This window comes from Homo sapiens, chromosome 7 (genome assembly GCF_000001405.40).
Source record: "Homo sapiens chromosome 7, GRCh38.p14 Primary Assembly".
In the NCBI taxonomy this organism is placed as follows: domain Eukaryota; kingdom Metazoa; phylum Chordata; class Mammalia; order Primates; family Hominidae; genus Homo; species Homo sapiens.
In genome coordinates, this window is record NC_000007.14 from 157678122 (window position 1) to 157691314 (window position 13193).

The 13193-nt window shown below is 53.2% G+C and overlaps 1 protein-coding gene across 10 annotated transcripts in view; it reads right to left on the minus strand.

The window, feature by feature from the left end:
- The window catches only part of PTPRN2 (protein tyrosine phosphatase receptor type N2), a 1048768-nt gene that overhangs the window by 139066 nt on the left and 896509 nt on the right, over nucleotides 1-13193 (minus strand). For all 10 annotated transcript variants that reach the window (XM_047420678.1, NM_130842.4, XM_047420679.1 and 7 more), the window contains one exon: nucleotides 4604-4816. In XM_047420678.1, the coding sequence (XP_047276634.1) occupies nucleotides 4604-4816 (213 nt within the window). The remainder of the gene's footprint in view (nucleotides 1-4603; nucleotides 4817-13193) is intronic.

Sequence of the window (13193 nt, forward strand, 5' to 3'; positions counted from 1 at the left end):
TATTTTTATACTTGTAAACTATTTGGCACAGTTTTCACAGGGTGCCCTTCATTTTTGAAGCAGCATAGGTTTTGCTTATTTGAGTTTTGCAAAAAATATATTATTTTGACCTGGAAATTTAAATATATAGTGAGGAAAGCCATTCTAAGATACAGAGCTGATTGAAAAGGCTTTGTTAAAAACTTCTGGTGGGGTCAAGTAAACCTCAGTAAAAGTCACTGTTTTCCAATTTAATTGTGAACATCCTACTTCTATTACTCGTGATTACACCAATGCCTGAAGATTAAACTCACCTAGAGAAAGAACGGTCTCTTAAAGCCCCAGAGAATGAACCAAGGCGTGACCTGTGCTCTTTGTCAGAACTCAGCTTTCTGCACCGGGGGTAAGAAGTCAGGGTGCATTTGGGACTTGCAGACACGCCAGCCCCAGTCAACTGAGCACCCTCAGATCGCAGCAATTGCCACCACACTGTCACTGCCTTTGTAATCACTTGCTAATGGGAGCAGCAGCAGCGACCGAGACGTGCACTTAGCCGCTGTGTTTACAGGAGGTCCCCGTGGCCCGGATGCATGCTTTCCTCTGGGTTTGGTTCCAAAGGCCTCCAAGTACACAAGGAAACCTGCTGGGTATTGTGAAATAAACCATCAAAAGAGAACTTGCTGAAAATTCTGCAGGAGTCTCTGCCCTCATGTCGGGGAAGGGAGAGTGGGCTGGCAGAATACTAAACTTGCTGCTCAAAGATGATCAAAGCCTCAAGGAAATGGATGCAACATTCAAAGAGACTCCGAGAGAAAAGGAGGAGAATGTCTTCTAATCATCTAACAACTTATTTTTGGCACAGTTTTTACCCAATCACCTTCCATAGAAATAGGACACCTACATGAAAAAAGAATGCATAAAGTATACTGGTACCAAAAATCACAATTCTTCCATGTCTTCACATTATCCTTAGTGTGTGTGTGTGTACATGTGTGTATAAATATATATATACACACATATATGCATATATGACAGGCTATGCCAATTTGAAAAAAAAGAATAAAAGTCAATAAAATTGGATTTTTACATCATGAAGTACAGAATTAATCCAAATATATCATGTTTTATCTATTTAGAAGAAAAAACAACATTTACTAAAACAATGGGGAGAAGTTTGGTGCGAGTAGTCTGTTAAACAAATGACCTTTAAGAATATATTTCAGTTATTCTGAAAGTTAATACACCCAATTTTTGCTCCAGTCTGAGCAAATTAAACTTGGCTGGATTATCTGATGGGGTTGATATCCTGGTAAGTGTCAAAAATATGAGAGTCTGTCAAAAAAGATTTGCTTTTCCAATAGGTAAGGCAAACAAAAATATCACACTCATGTAAATGAAGAAAGCTCTAACATCCTGACCCTGTCCATGAAATAGTTCTATTTTGAGGAAAAACAGGTAAACATGTTTGAAGGTGTTTGCATTAGAAGCTAGTAATTCAATCTCCTTACTGCTTCAAAACTATTTTAAGAAAAGCTCTCTTACTCCCCAGGAGCACAACGTGGGCCCCCTGTGGTCCCAAGCCCAGGCTCTGACTCACACACACAGGGGTCGGGGCTGGGGGGTTCTGTACAAGCACTAATGATGTGCGTGCATTATCAGGGCTGAGGCGGACAAATGCTTTAGCAGAGGTTGGCAACATGAGGGCCCCCCAGGTCACGCGGGAAGTGCCTTGCCAGGACACTAACCCAGCTGCTGTTTAACAGAGGACATGAGGATTCACCTTTTGGAACCCCAGGGAGGACGCAGCTCTACACCCTGAGGCCACCAGTGCCCCCCAGGATACCACCTCCACGCACCCGTCTCCTCCACTCCATCAGAACACCTCTGCTCCTGACCTTCCTTTCCCCAGGTAAGAACACAAGTTCTTTTGTTTAAAGTGTAACTTCATATTCTGATATTAATAAAACTTATGATATTGCCACCTACCATTCTCTCTCTCCGAGGTTACCTACCTCTCACCTACCTTGCACAATAATCTTTTTATTTTTCAGAAGCTTTAAGACAATGAATTGAGTAGTTCCAGCATGTCCCCATGAAATAAAGCATAAGATCAAATTGTTCCATTTTCCTTGTAACCCAGTGATGAGAGTTATCATCCACAACCTCACTGTGATTATAGAATCAGCAAAGTACACAGGTTCAGTGAGCCAGAAATAAATACATTAATGCGAGAAGACACCTTTCCTGAAATTTGTTTTATGTTTGCAATATTTTAAAAAACTTTTCAAACAGATTTTTACACTTCACAGGGGACTCATGGCTGTGATAGAAAACCCAAGTGAGATATGGATACGTTAATGAATTAATACCTGCTTCATTTACCAAAGTAAATATCCTTTCCTTGTAACCGCAATTGTCTGAGTCCTTGACACGTTACTCAGCTAACTTCAAAGTGAACAATCATACAGTCCCATCCTCACTACTGCGTCCTGCTCCGCCAAAACACAAATCACAACAACACAATGGTTCGGCACCTAGAACTTTCTCACCGGGAAACAATCCACCGTGATGGGGCAAACCCCCACTTTAATCAAAGTACTTCCCTAAAGGGCATTTTGTGGTGATTTCAAAGCTAAACCAACCAGAAAGTCTTTACACTCATTTCATTTCCAAATTTTCCTAGATCACATTTTTAAAGAAAAAAAGTTTTTTTTCCTTTTTATTAATCTGGATTGAAGAAAAGCACACATTTCATTTATTGTCTGGATTACAGATTCTTATTAAACAAACCGGAGCTCATTATAAAATCAATATCAACTTAACCACCATGCCCTCAGGAGGAACAGCAAAAAGGTCACTCCAAGAAATTCAAACAATTTTCCTGCTGGAAGGGCATGATTTTAATTACAGATACTATTAATTAGAGCTGTCACTGGGAAGGCTTTTTTTTTTCTGTTAATTATCACAAACTCAGTCCTAAGTATGCATTTTCAACCTGCAGTTTTTTTTTCAAATTAGTCATTTCTGCATGCAAGTCCAACCTTTCCATTCTATCAATATTTTATATTTGAATTTCAAAGTATATCAAAGGGCGCCACGCTTTCTAAAAATCTCTGCCTGTATGATCTTCCGTCTCTCACGCATGGAACAGAACTGGTGTGATAATTTATTTATGTACTGACACAGACTTGGCCTGAAGACCTGGCATCCTACATTGAAGGTCTTGCTCAATGGAATTTCTGGATAAATTCTTACTAGTTTATGTGACATTTTTTTCAGGCTGCTTCTTCAAACGTGATTTTCCTTTTGCTTTGAAGCAAAGCTATGCACTGCAACTGAAATGCCAGCCTCAACACATTTGAAGTTGCCATTTCTTTGTAAGAAAAAGATCGTCCTGACCGGGCTGGTGACCCTCTCCAGAAAACTGGAGGCTTCCTCCATTCAATGGCAATACCAGGAATTTTGAAATGGGAGGAAAAGCTGTCTTGTGGTCAATCTCTTTTAAGCATAGAGATTGTGTAAATTCCTTATGTGGGGGAGGGTCCTGAGAGCTCACAGAGTATAGAAAAGCTAGCTCCAAGGAGCTCAGGCAGCAGGAGGGTATGGTGCTGGAGGGCGCTTTGTGGAGAGAGCTTGAGAGCCCACCCATGTAACTCTGATGATGGAATAATAATATTTACTTTACATACGACTGTAAAAATGATGAATTATTTACAAGACGTATTGCACACTGTAATCATGTGACTAGAGAAAACAAAGGATCCAGTCCAATGAGGAAATCTTACACATGTACTGACCAAACTTTTAAAACAGTGGTTAAGGAGTCATCCTACCTTCCCAGATGGGAATATCTTCTCGGAATTAAATGATATTTTATATGCAAAGGAATCAAACGCCTTGACTGGTGTAAGTATTCTGGGCTTATGCTGCTGTTAAAACCGAAGGCCTATGTTCATTACAGGACAATACTAAATACGAAATGTGCGCCATAGAACTTCCAGAAACTCTGTGGTTTTTTAAAAATGCCCGACTTGGTCTGAACTTGCCTTCCTCGCATCCTCCCCGGTTTCCAGCTCATTTCCAGGGGTGTCTGTGGTGCCTCTAGAGAAGGTGTCCCTCATGGGGACGCGTGTGGGTCACCTTCCCCTGGTCAGCGTTAGGCTTCACTGGACCGGACAACAGCACAGGGTGGCAACTGGGCAGGTCAAAGGATCTTTTCACAGAAGACCCCGAGGAAGCCGATGATTTTTGAGACATCTTCAAACACCTACACGCCAAATGATCTCGCAACTCTGGCACTTTTCAGTAGTAGTGGCCAAACTAAGATAACAGATAATACATCATTCATGTACTGTACTTTTTCCACACTTCTAATTAACAACATTCTTCCAGAGTTAACACGAGGCTATCCAAGAAGAGCAGACGGATACAGAGCTGCACAACTGTGGCTGCAACGTATTTGCACGAATGCTGATGAGAAGTTCCAAACTGTCCTCATAAAAGACCCCAAACTATGATACAGGAACAACTGCTGGGAATGGAGGAGGGGCCAGAGAGGAACGCCATCATCTGCCTGTTCAACAGATAAATCCGATATACCACTTTTTAAAAAGTCTCCTCTTACCTGGTAGGCGGCAGTGGCATCTGCACCTGGGTCGCCCCCTAGTCCCGAGAGCTTCTCCTTCAGCCTGTGCTGAGAGCTATGGCGGAGGCAGTAGATGAGGCCAGAGGCCAGGAGGACGCCCAGGATGCAGGCGAGGGAGACCAGGGTGAGCGCGATGAACTTGGTGGAGTCTTCTTGCTCCGCCTGAGGAGGCAGGAACTTGAGTTTGCTTTTCTGCAGAACAAGGAGAGAGGGGTGTGTTAGCTCCTGACAAAGCATGACCTCCTAAAAACACACGTCTCCAAATGCAACTTGAAAGTGGAAAGCTCAGCCCCACAGGACGCTGTGCTGGCCCTGGAGCCACAACGGGAGGGCCCTGCGGAACAACCCCCGTCAAAGGAGAAGCAGAAATCATTTGAAAATAGCACATCGCAGATTGCAGCGTGCTCAAGAGGACAGTCAGAGGCATCACTTTTTCCTTCAGTGGTGGCTGTTTTTCAAATTTATGTAACGTATTTGGCAGCTAATTTGCTGCCTTAAGTAAAGTATCCATCCCTTCTTCTAACCGGGCACAGCAGTTTGTCCAGAGCTTGCACAATGATTGTCGGGGGTGCTGGGGGGAGGCCAGGCTTGGCGGTGGAGGAGGGTGGGCAGGCCCGGAGCCTTCTGCAGCTTCAAGTAGCCACCAAGTCCAGCACATCTTCAGCAACAAAGGAACGTGGGACTGGCTCTGTGCATCTTCACAGAACATTCTCCCTCCCAGGTCAGGGGATTTGGATCCACCTGTCTTGAAAGGCGAGCGCTGGTCGAATCCCACCTGACTCCAGTCACTCTCCAGGAGTGGCCTGGTGCAGACCACAACACTTGCCACCTATGCACCTACGTATTTTTCCTTGAAAGGAGCTGCAGAGCCTTTGGAACTTCACTTCTCAGCGAGGAAAACCCTTCAGATTCTCACTGCTTCTTGGAGGGCGGGGGTAGGGCTGGTGAAAATATGAGAAAGCCCTTTCGGTGCATTTCACTTGTCTCCACGTGCAAATAGTTGCACGGCTCTCCCCTCATTAACTTCATTAGAAGGTATATTAGCAACAATTAAGGACGCCACAGGAAAATGGGAAGGCCGCCCCGCAGACCGCGCGCCCTGCACAATGACTCGGGGAGTGAATGGGGGAGCACGCCCGGCCTTGGTCCTGGCTGCTACAAGATGAGAACAATTAGCAAACCCCTTTCCACCACCTAATTTCGCGTGGTAACAAAATGGATTTTTCCCCATGAATGCCTGGCCGGCCTATTCATTATCTCTCTTCTATTAGTAATTTTCTGCTCCGTATTCAGCCTCCCAACTCTTCATTTCCTCCCGTCTCCCAGCGTACACAGTGCCTCTTATGTCAGGCCGGGCCCGTTTTTATCTTGTAATCATAAAGGCCACCAAAGCAATTATCGCCGGTCTTGACTGGAAAAGCTGGTCATTAATTAGCCTCCTTTTGCCTTCGGTGCAGCGGATTAGCTGGTGCCGGGACTGAGTTAATGGAAACGCGGGTTAAATGAGAAAAGACGCCCGGATTTTCCTGCCTGGATGCGCGGCTCGGAGGAGGACCGCGAGGTTCTCCAGCGGCGGGAGGCGGTGGAGCCGCCGCGGAGAGGGAGGGAGGCTTTGGAGAGGGAGGGAAGGAAAGGGGGAGGGAGAGGGAAAGGGGGGAGAGGGAGAGGAGGCGCGGGGTGGGGGAGGGGAGTGAGCAGGGAGCCGGGAGAGGGAGGAGGGGCGGGAACCAGGGGAGCGGCCCGAACCCCGTTTGGTCCGGACCCCGCAGCCACCGCTGGGTCTCGCCGCCGGGTCGCCCTTCGCGTGGAGATCCGGTCCGCGCCCCCTCCCCGGTCTCCTCCCCTCCCCTCCCCTCCGCCCCCCTCCCTCCGGCCCACACAGCCTCTTCCAGAAAGAAGTCACTCTAGAGCCGCGCGACCCAGCCCCAGAGTCCGCCGGGGTCCGCCCACCGGGTCTCCTGCGCGCCCCTCCCCGCCCCTCCCCGGGCACAGCCCGTTCACGAAACCTAAGGCGCCGGCCACGCGCCACCTCCCCCGGGCCGGGGTCTCCTCGGTCCCCGCGCGGGCGCTGGTTCTCCCGGGTGGGCGGCAGCCCCGCCCTGTGCCCTCCTGGGCCGGCGCGAGGGACCCTAGAGCGCGCGGGGGGCCCCAGGCGGGGAGGAGCGGCCGCGACCCCGGATGCGAGAGGCGTGTGGGTCCAAGCGGCGCCGGGACAGGGGCCGGGTCCTCTGCCCACCCCAGGGTCCATGTTCGCCTGCGGGGCCGCGTCCCCCGGAGCCATACCTGGGCGGGAGGGCTTTTCCCGGGGGCCCGGCCTGCGCCCCTCGCCGCCCCTCGCCCCTCGCCTCTCGCCTCCCGCGGGTCCCGCCTGGCCTTGGCCGACGGAACAAGAACAACAAAGGAAGCGGCGCGACCGGCGGAGGGGGCGCCCGCCGCCCTCCCACCCCTCATCCCGGCCGGGCCGATGGCCCCCGCGCGCCTCCATCCGCCCCAGCGCGGAGGCGACCCCGGCCCCGCTGCCCCGGCGTCGGGAGGACACCGCGCGCTCACGTGGATGACTGCGCCCGGGAACAGGGACTTCCCGAACCTTCCTGCCCCGCGCCGTGAGGCCCACACGCGCGCGGTGACCACCCTGGTTCTGAGGGGGCGGCGGGGCCACGGCGTGTGGCGGACCCGGCAGTGGCACCCAGGCTGTGCGCGCGGGTGTGTGGGGTTCCGAGGCGCAGGGCGACCGCCGGCTCCGGCTCCCCGAGGAAGGGGCACAGGCGCTGCCCGCGGTCACTCGGGCCAGGTGAGGGCAGGGGACGCGCGGGGGCCGGAGGAGGAGGCCTGGTCTGCGGGCGGCAGGAGGGACCCGGGGCCAGCCGAGGCTGTTCCCAGGGAGGCAGACACCTGCTGTCGCCGGGACCCTCGACACGCTCCGCACGCGCGGGAGCGGAACCGGGCCTGCTTTGGAGGCCTCCCTTGGCGCGCTTGGATTTACTCAAAGGTCAAAGAAAAATGTCAAGGAGAGCGATTGCCTGGAGAGCTCCTGGCTCTCCTCCCGGGTCCCCGCTGGGTCCCAGGAGTCCCCGGAGGGGAAGCAAGGAGCCCCAGTGCCCTGGAGTCCTGTCTCCACCAACCTCGCCCGGCTCCCTGCTGCCTAGGCCCGCGCTGTCCCAGCAGAGGAGGGGTGGGAGCCGCCCCAGGCCCACCTCCCCGCGCCGGTCCACAAGGAGGCCCCTCCTGCAACCTGGGAGAGGCCGGGGGAGGCCCGGAGGGCGACCGCGCGGGGCCGCGGGACCTGGACAGCCGGGGAGTCGTGACCGCGGGCAGCGCCGGGGCTGAGGGCGAGGAGGGTCTTACTGCAGGGAAGGGCGGGACGCTGGACAGAGGGACCGACTGGGGTCCACCGGCCTGACACAGAAGTCGCTGGATCCCAGGGCCCGGCTGGGAAACCCGCTTCCTACCCGCCCGCGGGCGCCGCAGAAGAAACCGAAGAAAGAGGTCTTCCCTCCACGCCCAGGACGGTTTCAAGTGTCCCACCCAGCGCTGAGCAGGAGGGTGATGCGGAGGGAAAAACTGTTGGCTGCAAGTCAGGTCTTAGGAATCCCGGAAGAAACGAAGATTTAAAGAATTTTTTTCTAAGTGATTGAGTTCCAATAACTTTACAATGACTTGACTCCCTTTTTGTGGAGTTAAAAAAAATCTTCAAACTCCTGCTAGCCATGGCCTTTAAGAGAAAGAAATGAGTTTAAAAGTGAGTTTGAGGCACAGTCTTGACCCAGGTGTGGCTTTGGTGGTCCTCAGCGCCATCTCCCCCATGGGCACCGACCCCCCAAGGCTGCACCACGGCGGGTGGACCCCAAAGAGAGCCCAGACTAATTAGAGGCATCTTATCAGTCTTGACTTGAAATTGAAAGAAAATTATGTTTAAATATTTATGACTTTGACATTTACAGTCAGGCGTTTTTGAAAAGCGGAACACCCCCTTCTGTACAGCGGCAGCTCAATGACTGAAAGTTTGGAACAGAGAAGAAGTGAGGAGGAGGAGGAGGGAGAAGGAGGCCTGGTAACACAGCGGCAGGGGTGCGTCCCGGGTGGGGGAGATGCACAGATAGGCACACTTCAGTGCTGAGTTCTCAGAGGCAGGAATAGTATAATTTAAAAAAATAATCAGGAATGATTAAGTTAATTTTATCCCAGGTTAGATCTATCTTGAGAATAAGATGAAGTACAATATCGCATATTTCTTCCTCTCAACCGTCTGCACCTGCAACTCCTCAAATTTAGAATAGACAGTATTGCAAAAGTTGTGATTCAAAATAAGTGTATGACCACAGAGACAATTTGTGGAGCTGTCTTAGAACTTAGCATCTGCAGACACTGTCCTGACCAATTTAAATTATTTTGACCGTGCCCCTGAGTGGAGGTGCATGAGGCTTCCACCCCATGCCCTTGTGAGCCATTTACGGGAAAATGCCTTCAGAACTTTTTTAGCTGTCCATGTGGTAAGCTTAAAAGAAAAGAAAAAAGGACATGTTATGCCCAAACTCAATTGTGAGAGCTGATACAGCCACACAAATACAAAACTTTATGGTAAATATGTGTTGACGGGTAGCCAGATTTAGTCCTTTTCCAAGGTTGTGTGATATAACCAGTTAACAGGAGCAGTTCATTCTCTGAGTCACGATGTGCAGTATTAAAATATGCTTGCATCATAAAGACGTAGGGATACAGGTGCTCGGTGCCAGTTAATGTTAAACTTCTAACATTGTTGATGCTTTCATTTGTATCATTTCTAAGGAATCAGATTTCAGTCCCAGCCTCATCCTATCTTTGTGTGCATTTAAATTACTAAATTATAAATACCTTTTTCTCTTAAAACTTAGAAGTCAGTTTTAGAGACCATTAATGAGTTGCTGTAACAAGTTTATCTTTGGTTTGCTGGATGAATCCTCTTAGAATTATTAGGAAATTTCATTCTAAATTTACTAAAAGGCATTACTAAAATATAATACTCACTTTAGGGCTGATGAACATTTTAAGTTTTCAGGCCATAGCAAGTGATCCAACTTGAAAACACGGGGGAAGGGGTGTCTTAAAATATTTTAAAAGTATTTTTTAAAGCTGTTAACGGAACTACTTTTAATTTGGAATTTGCCACAGAATTCTAATAAATGAGAGAAGTCAGGCGGAAATAATCATGTATTAATTCTCTGCATTACAAAATCTTTTCAGAAGCTATTATCAGAGCAAGAGGCACTGCGGTCTGAATTCAGGGTGGGAGAAGCCCTTTGTGCAACTGAAAGCTATTGTTCCTCCGTGCAGATGAAATTGTACTTGCAAATCTGCCATTCAAGTGGCCAAAAAACCCAAAAAAGCAAAAGAAAAGAATCTTCAAGGAAAAATTATTCTTAAATGTAAACTTTAATGAAAATAAGTTGGGATATACTGTTTTAAAATGGGCTATTTGTTGAGTTTTTCCAGGCATACACTTAAAAGTGAATATACAAGAAAGGCAATAAATTGTCTATTTGCCATCTTTAAGCACTCCTAAAACATCAGTTTTAAAGAAATACTGTGTTTTAAGACATCAGGGAAGATTTATGATACTGATGTCCAAAGGGGGAAGCACCCTTGTGCAAACTAATTCTAACCAGCAGATTGCCTCCGGTGGGAGAGAGGGACCCAGAGGCTGAGCAGGGGAAGGATGCCCCTGAGAAAGCCGCCCCCAGCCTCTTTCAGACTCTCCGCTGGCGTTTTCATGACACCCAAACTCAGACTCAGCGGATCACACTTAAGGCACCGGCTCCTGACCCCTATTTTTGGCCCGCCCGCCTGGTCCCCAGGCCTGCCTGGACGCACGCGCGCCTTCCACACCAGGTGCTTCTCGGGACGGGGCCTGGCCTCCCCACCCCGCAAGAACCAGACCCTCTTCAGGACTGGGGGGGTTACCGCTTCGCCTCCTCTACCCGGACTCAGAAGCCCCAACCCAAGACCCGCCTAGCGTCGCTTGTCAGAACCCCTCTGTGGCACGACTTTGAGCAGAGGGCGAGGGAAAGGAGGGTCAGCGTTCGGCCCCGTCCCCTGCCTGGGCTTTCTCCCCCGCTTCCCCGTCCCTCCCCCCTCGCCGGTTCACCGCATCCCCACAGGAGTCATAAAGATCAGGCCCCAGCGCCGGACACAAAGGCCAAGGGTTCCCGGGAGCCGCGGGTATTCAGAGCCAGGAGAGGGGTCCCGGCGCGGAGGGTGCTGCGGCCCAGCCTCCTGGCCACAGAGCGCGCCGGCCGCGAGGGAGGACCAAGGTCCCCAACCACGCCCGCGTCCACCCGTGAATCCCGGCGCTCGCAGCCCCCGGGCGGCGCAGCCGCCACCGCCGCCGTCTTCTCTGGAGCGCAGAGGGGTGTGCTTGGGAGGGGGCGGGAGGGCACTTTCCTCTGTGTCGGTGAAAGGAAGAGCTTCCAGCTCCCTCCTCCGCACAAACCTTCACTTCCTCTCTTGTTCGATCGCGTCCTAAAATCTGGGATCGGCGACGCAAGGACAGCCTGGTTTGGCGAAGACCCCTCGGACACCCTGCGCTCCGGACTCCAGGCGGGTGGCTCCACGGTGCCGGCCGGGACGCGCAGCTCGGGGGGCGGGACCACGTCCGGGACCCCGGGGCCGCTGTCCGAGGACGGAGGTCGGTGACTTGAACCGCGTCGTCCTCAGGGCTGTGGCGGGGCCCCTCTCCCAGCCGTCCAGCCCGCAGCGCCCAGCTCAGCGCACTGAGGACCAAAAAGGGCGGGAGACTCTCTCCGGCCCTAAAAGGCAATTGTGCTGAGATTTTAACTCTAACTTGGGGGTTCGCCCGATTCCCTGGAGCAACGCTTCTCTAAAACCACGGAGCAGGCCAGTGTTCGGAACTGCACAGGTAGTTACGAAGGAAGGAAATGAAGTCCCTCGTTCCAACAGCTTCGGGTCCAGTCACAAGTTTCTCTCTGGCGAGCACGCGGCCGCCTCACCTGGGGTGGGGGAGGCGCTGAGAAAGCGCAGTTCTCTTTGGGGGAGGAGAGATGGCCTCTCAGAGGCGTCCCCACCTGCCTCTGGAACGCCTCTCCCTGCAGGCCCCCTCGGTTCCCTGCAATTCGCCGCCCGCTGGGATACTCCCATGGCTCGGAGGCGCGCTCCCGGACCCTGGTGAGGAGGGTGAAGAGCGCCCCAAAATGGGCTGAGAGGAAAATGCGCCCACACTGGCGCCTCTCCATCCTGGCTGCTCGCCCCTTCCCTCCTCCTTTCCCACACGCCTCCCATCTCCGTGCCTGCACCCCCCCACCCCCAGCACCCTGCAATGGTCGGAACTGCAGGGAGTGGGGAGCAACGCGAAAGGCCGAGAGAAGAGCGCTGGGGAGAAGTCCCGGAGGTCCTAGACTCCTTGGGGCGGTCTCTGCGGGGCGCTGGGCCAGGACAGCTGCCAACCCTCCAAATCTGTGCGCTCAGAAGGAGCTGCCCTTTGCCCGCTCCTCCTCACAGGCCCACCCTAGACCCACTTGGGGATGATCCCAGGCGCAGCTCTCCCCTGCCGGCCCAAGCCTTTGACAGGAGTCCTGCGGCGAGGCAGAGACCCCCTGAACTGAGCTCTCCGACGCCCTAGTTGCCCGTTAGAGCCCCCATGCGCGCCCTCCAGCCTTCGAAAGCTCTCTTCCTCGCCCCACCACCTACGCGCCTGGTGATGCTCTCGTGGGCCCTTCCTGCTCCCTCCGCCCCCATCCCAGCCTCTCTCGCCTCTTCCAGGGCCCACCCAACCGCACTACGAGCGCCCGCGCCCCGCCCGGCACCCCTGGTTACCTGCAGCTGGGCCGGCGCCCAGCGCCCGCGCGGGAGGAGGTGGGGGCGTGCGCCGGGCCGAGCGGCCTCGGGGCGCAGCAGCTGCGGGTAGCGGCAGCGCCATCATCACAGCCAGCTGCTTCCCTGCGCTGGAGCCACAGACTAGCGGGGTCATCCGCTTCTGACCACAAACTTCTAGGGCGGCCGGAGGAGACAAAGGTGCCGCGCGTCGCTGCTCCAGCAGCAGCGGCTGCGCGGCGGCACGGGCTCGGAGCCCGCAGGCGCCGGAGCTCTGCGCGGCCGCTCGGCCCAGCTCCGCGTGCTCCGCCCCGGCCCGGCCCCCGGGCTAGGCACGCTGGGCCGGGGCGCGGCGCGGGCGGGCTCAGGGCGGGCTCCGGACGGTCCCGGTAGGGCCGCCGGCCGCGCGCGTAGCACCAACCAGCGCGGCCGCCGCGCCCCGCCTTATATCCGGCCCGGCGCGCACCCGGCCGGCGGCGGCGCGGCTCGCGGCCCAGCCACCGGTTGCTATAGCGATGTCCCCCCCCCCCCCCACATGTTGCTGACAGCAATTGGCTAAGGGGCCGCGGCTCTCCAAACACCCTCTCCCGCCCGAGACTATGAATGGACATCAGCTTTGTCAGTCATTGGTACAACGCCGAAGCCAGGGCCTTCGCCTTTTCTTTCTTTTCAGTGTTTCTCCCTTTCATCGTTCATACTGGGCAAGTTCAGGGTAGCACCGAGGGGAGAGAGACCTCGGCCAGAAAAGTCAAGGCGCGCGGCTCTG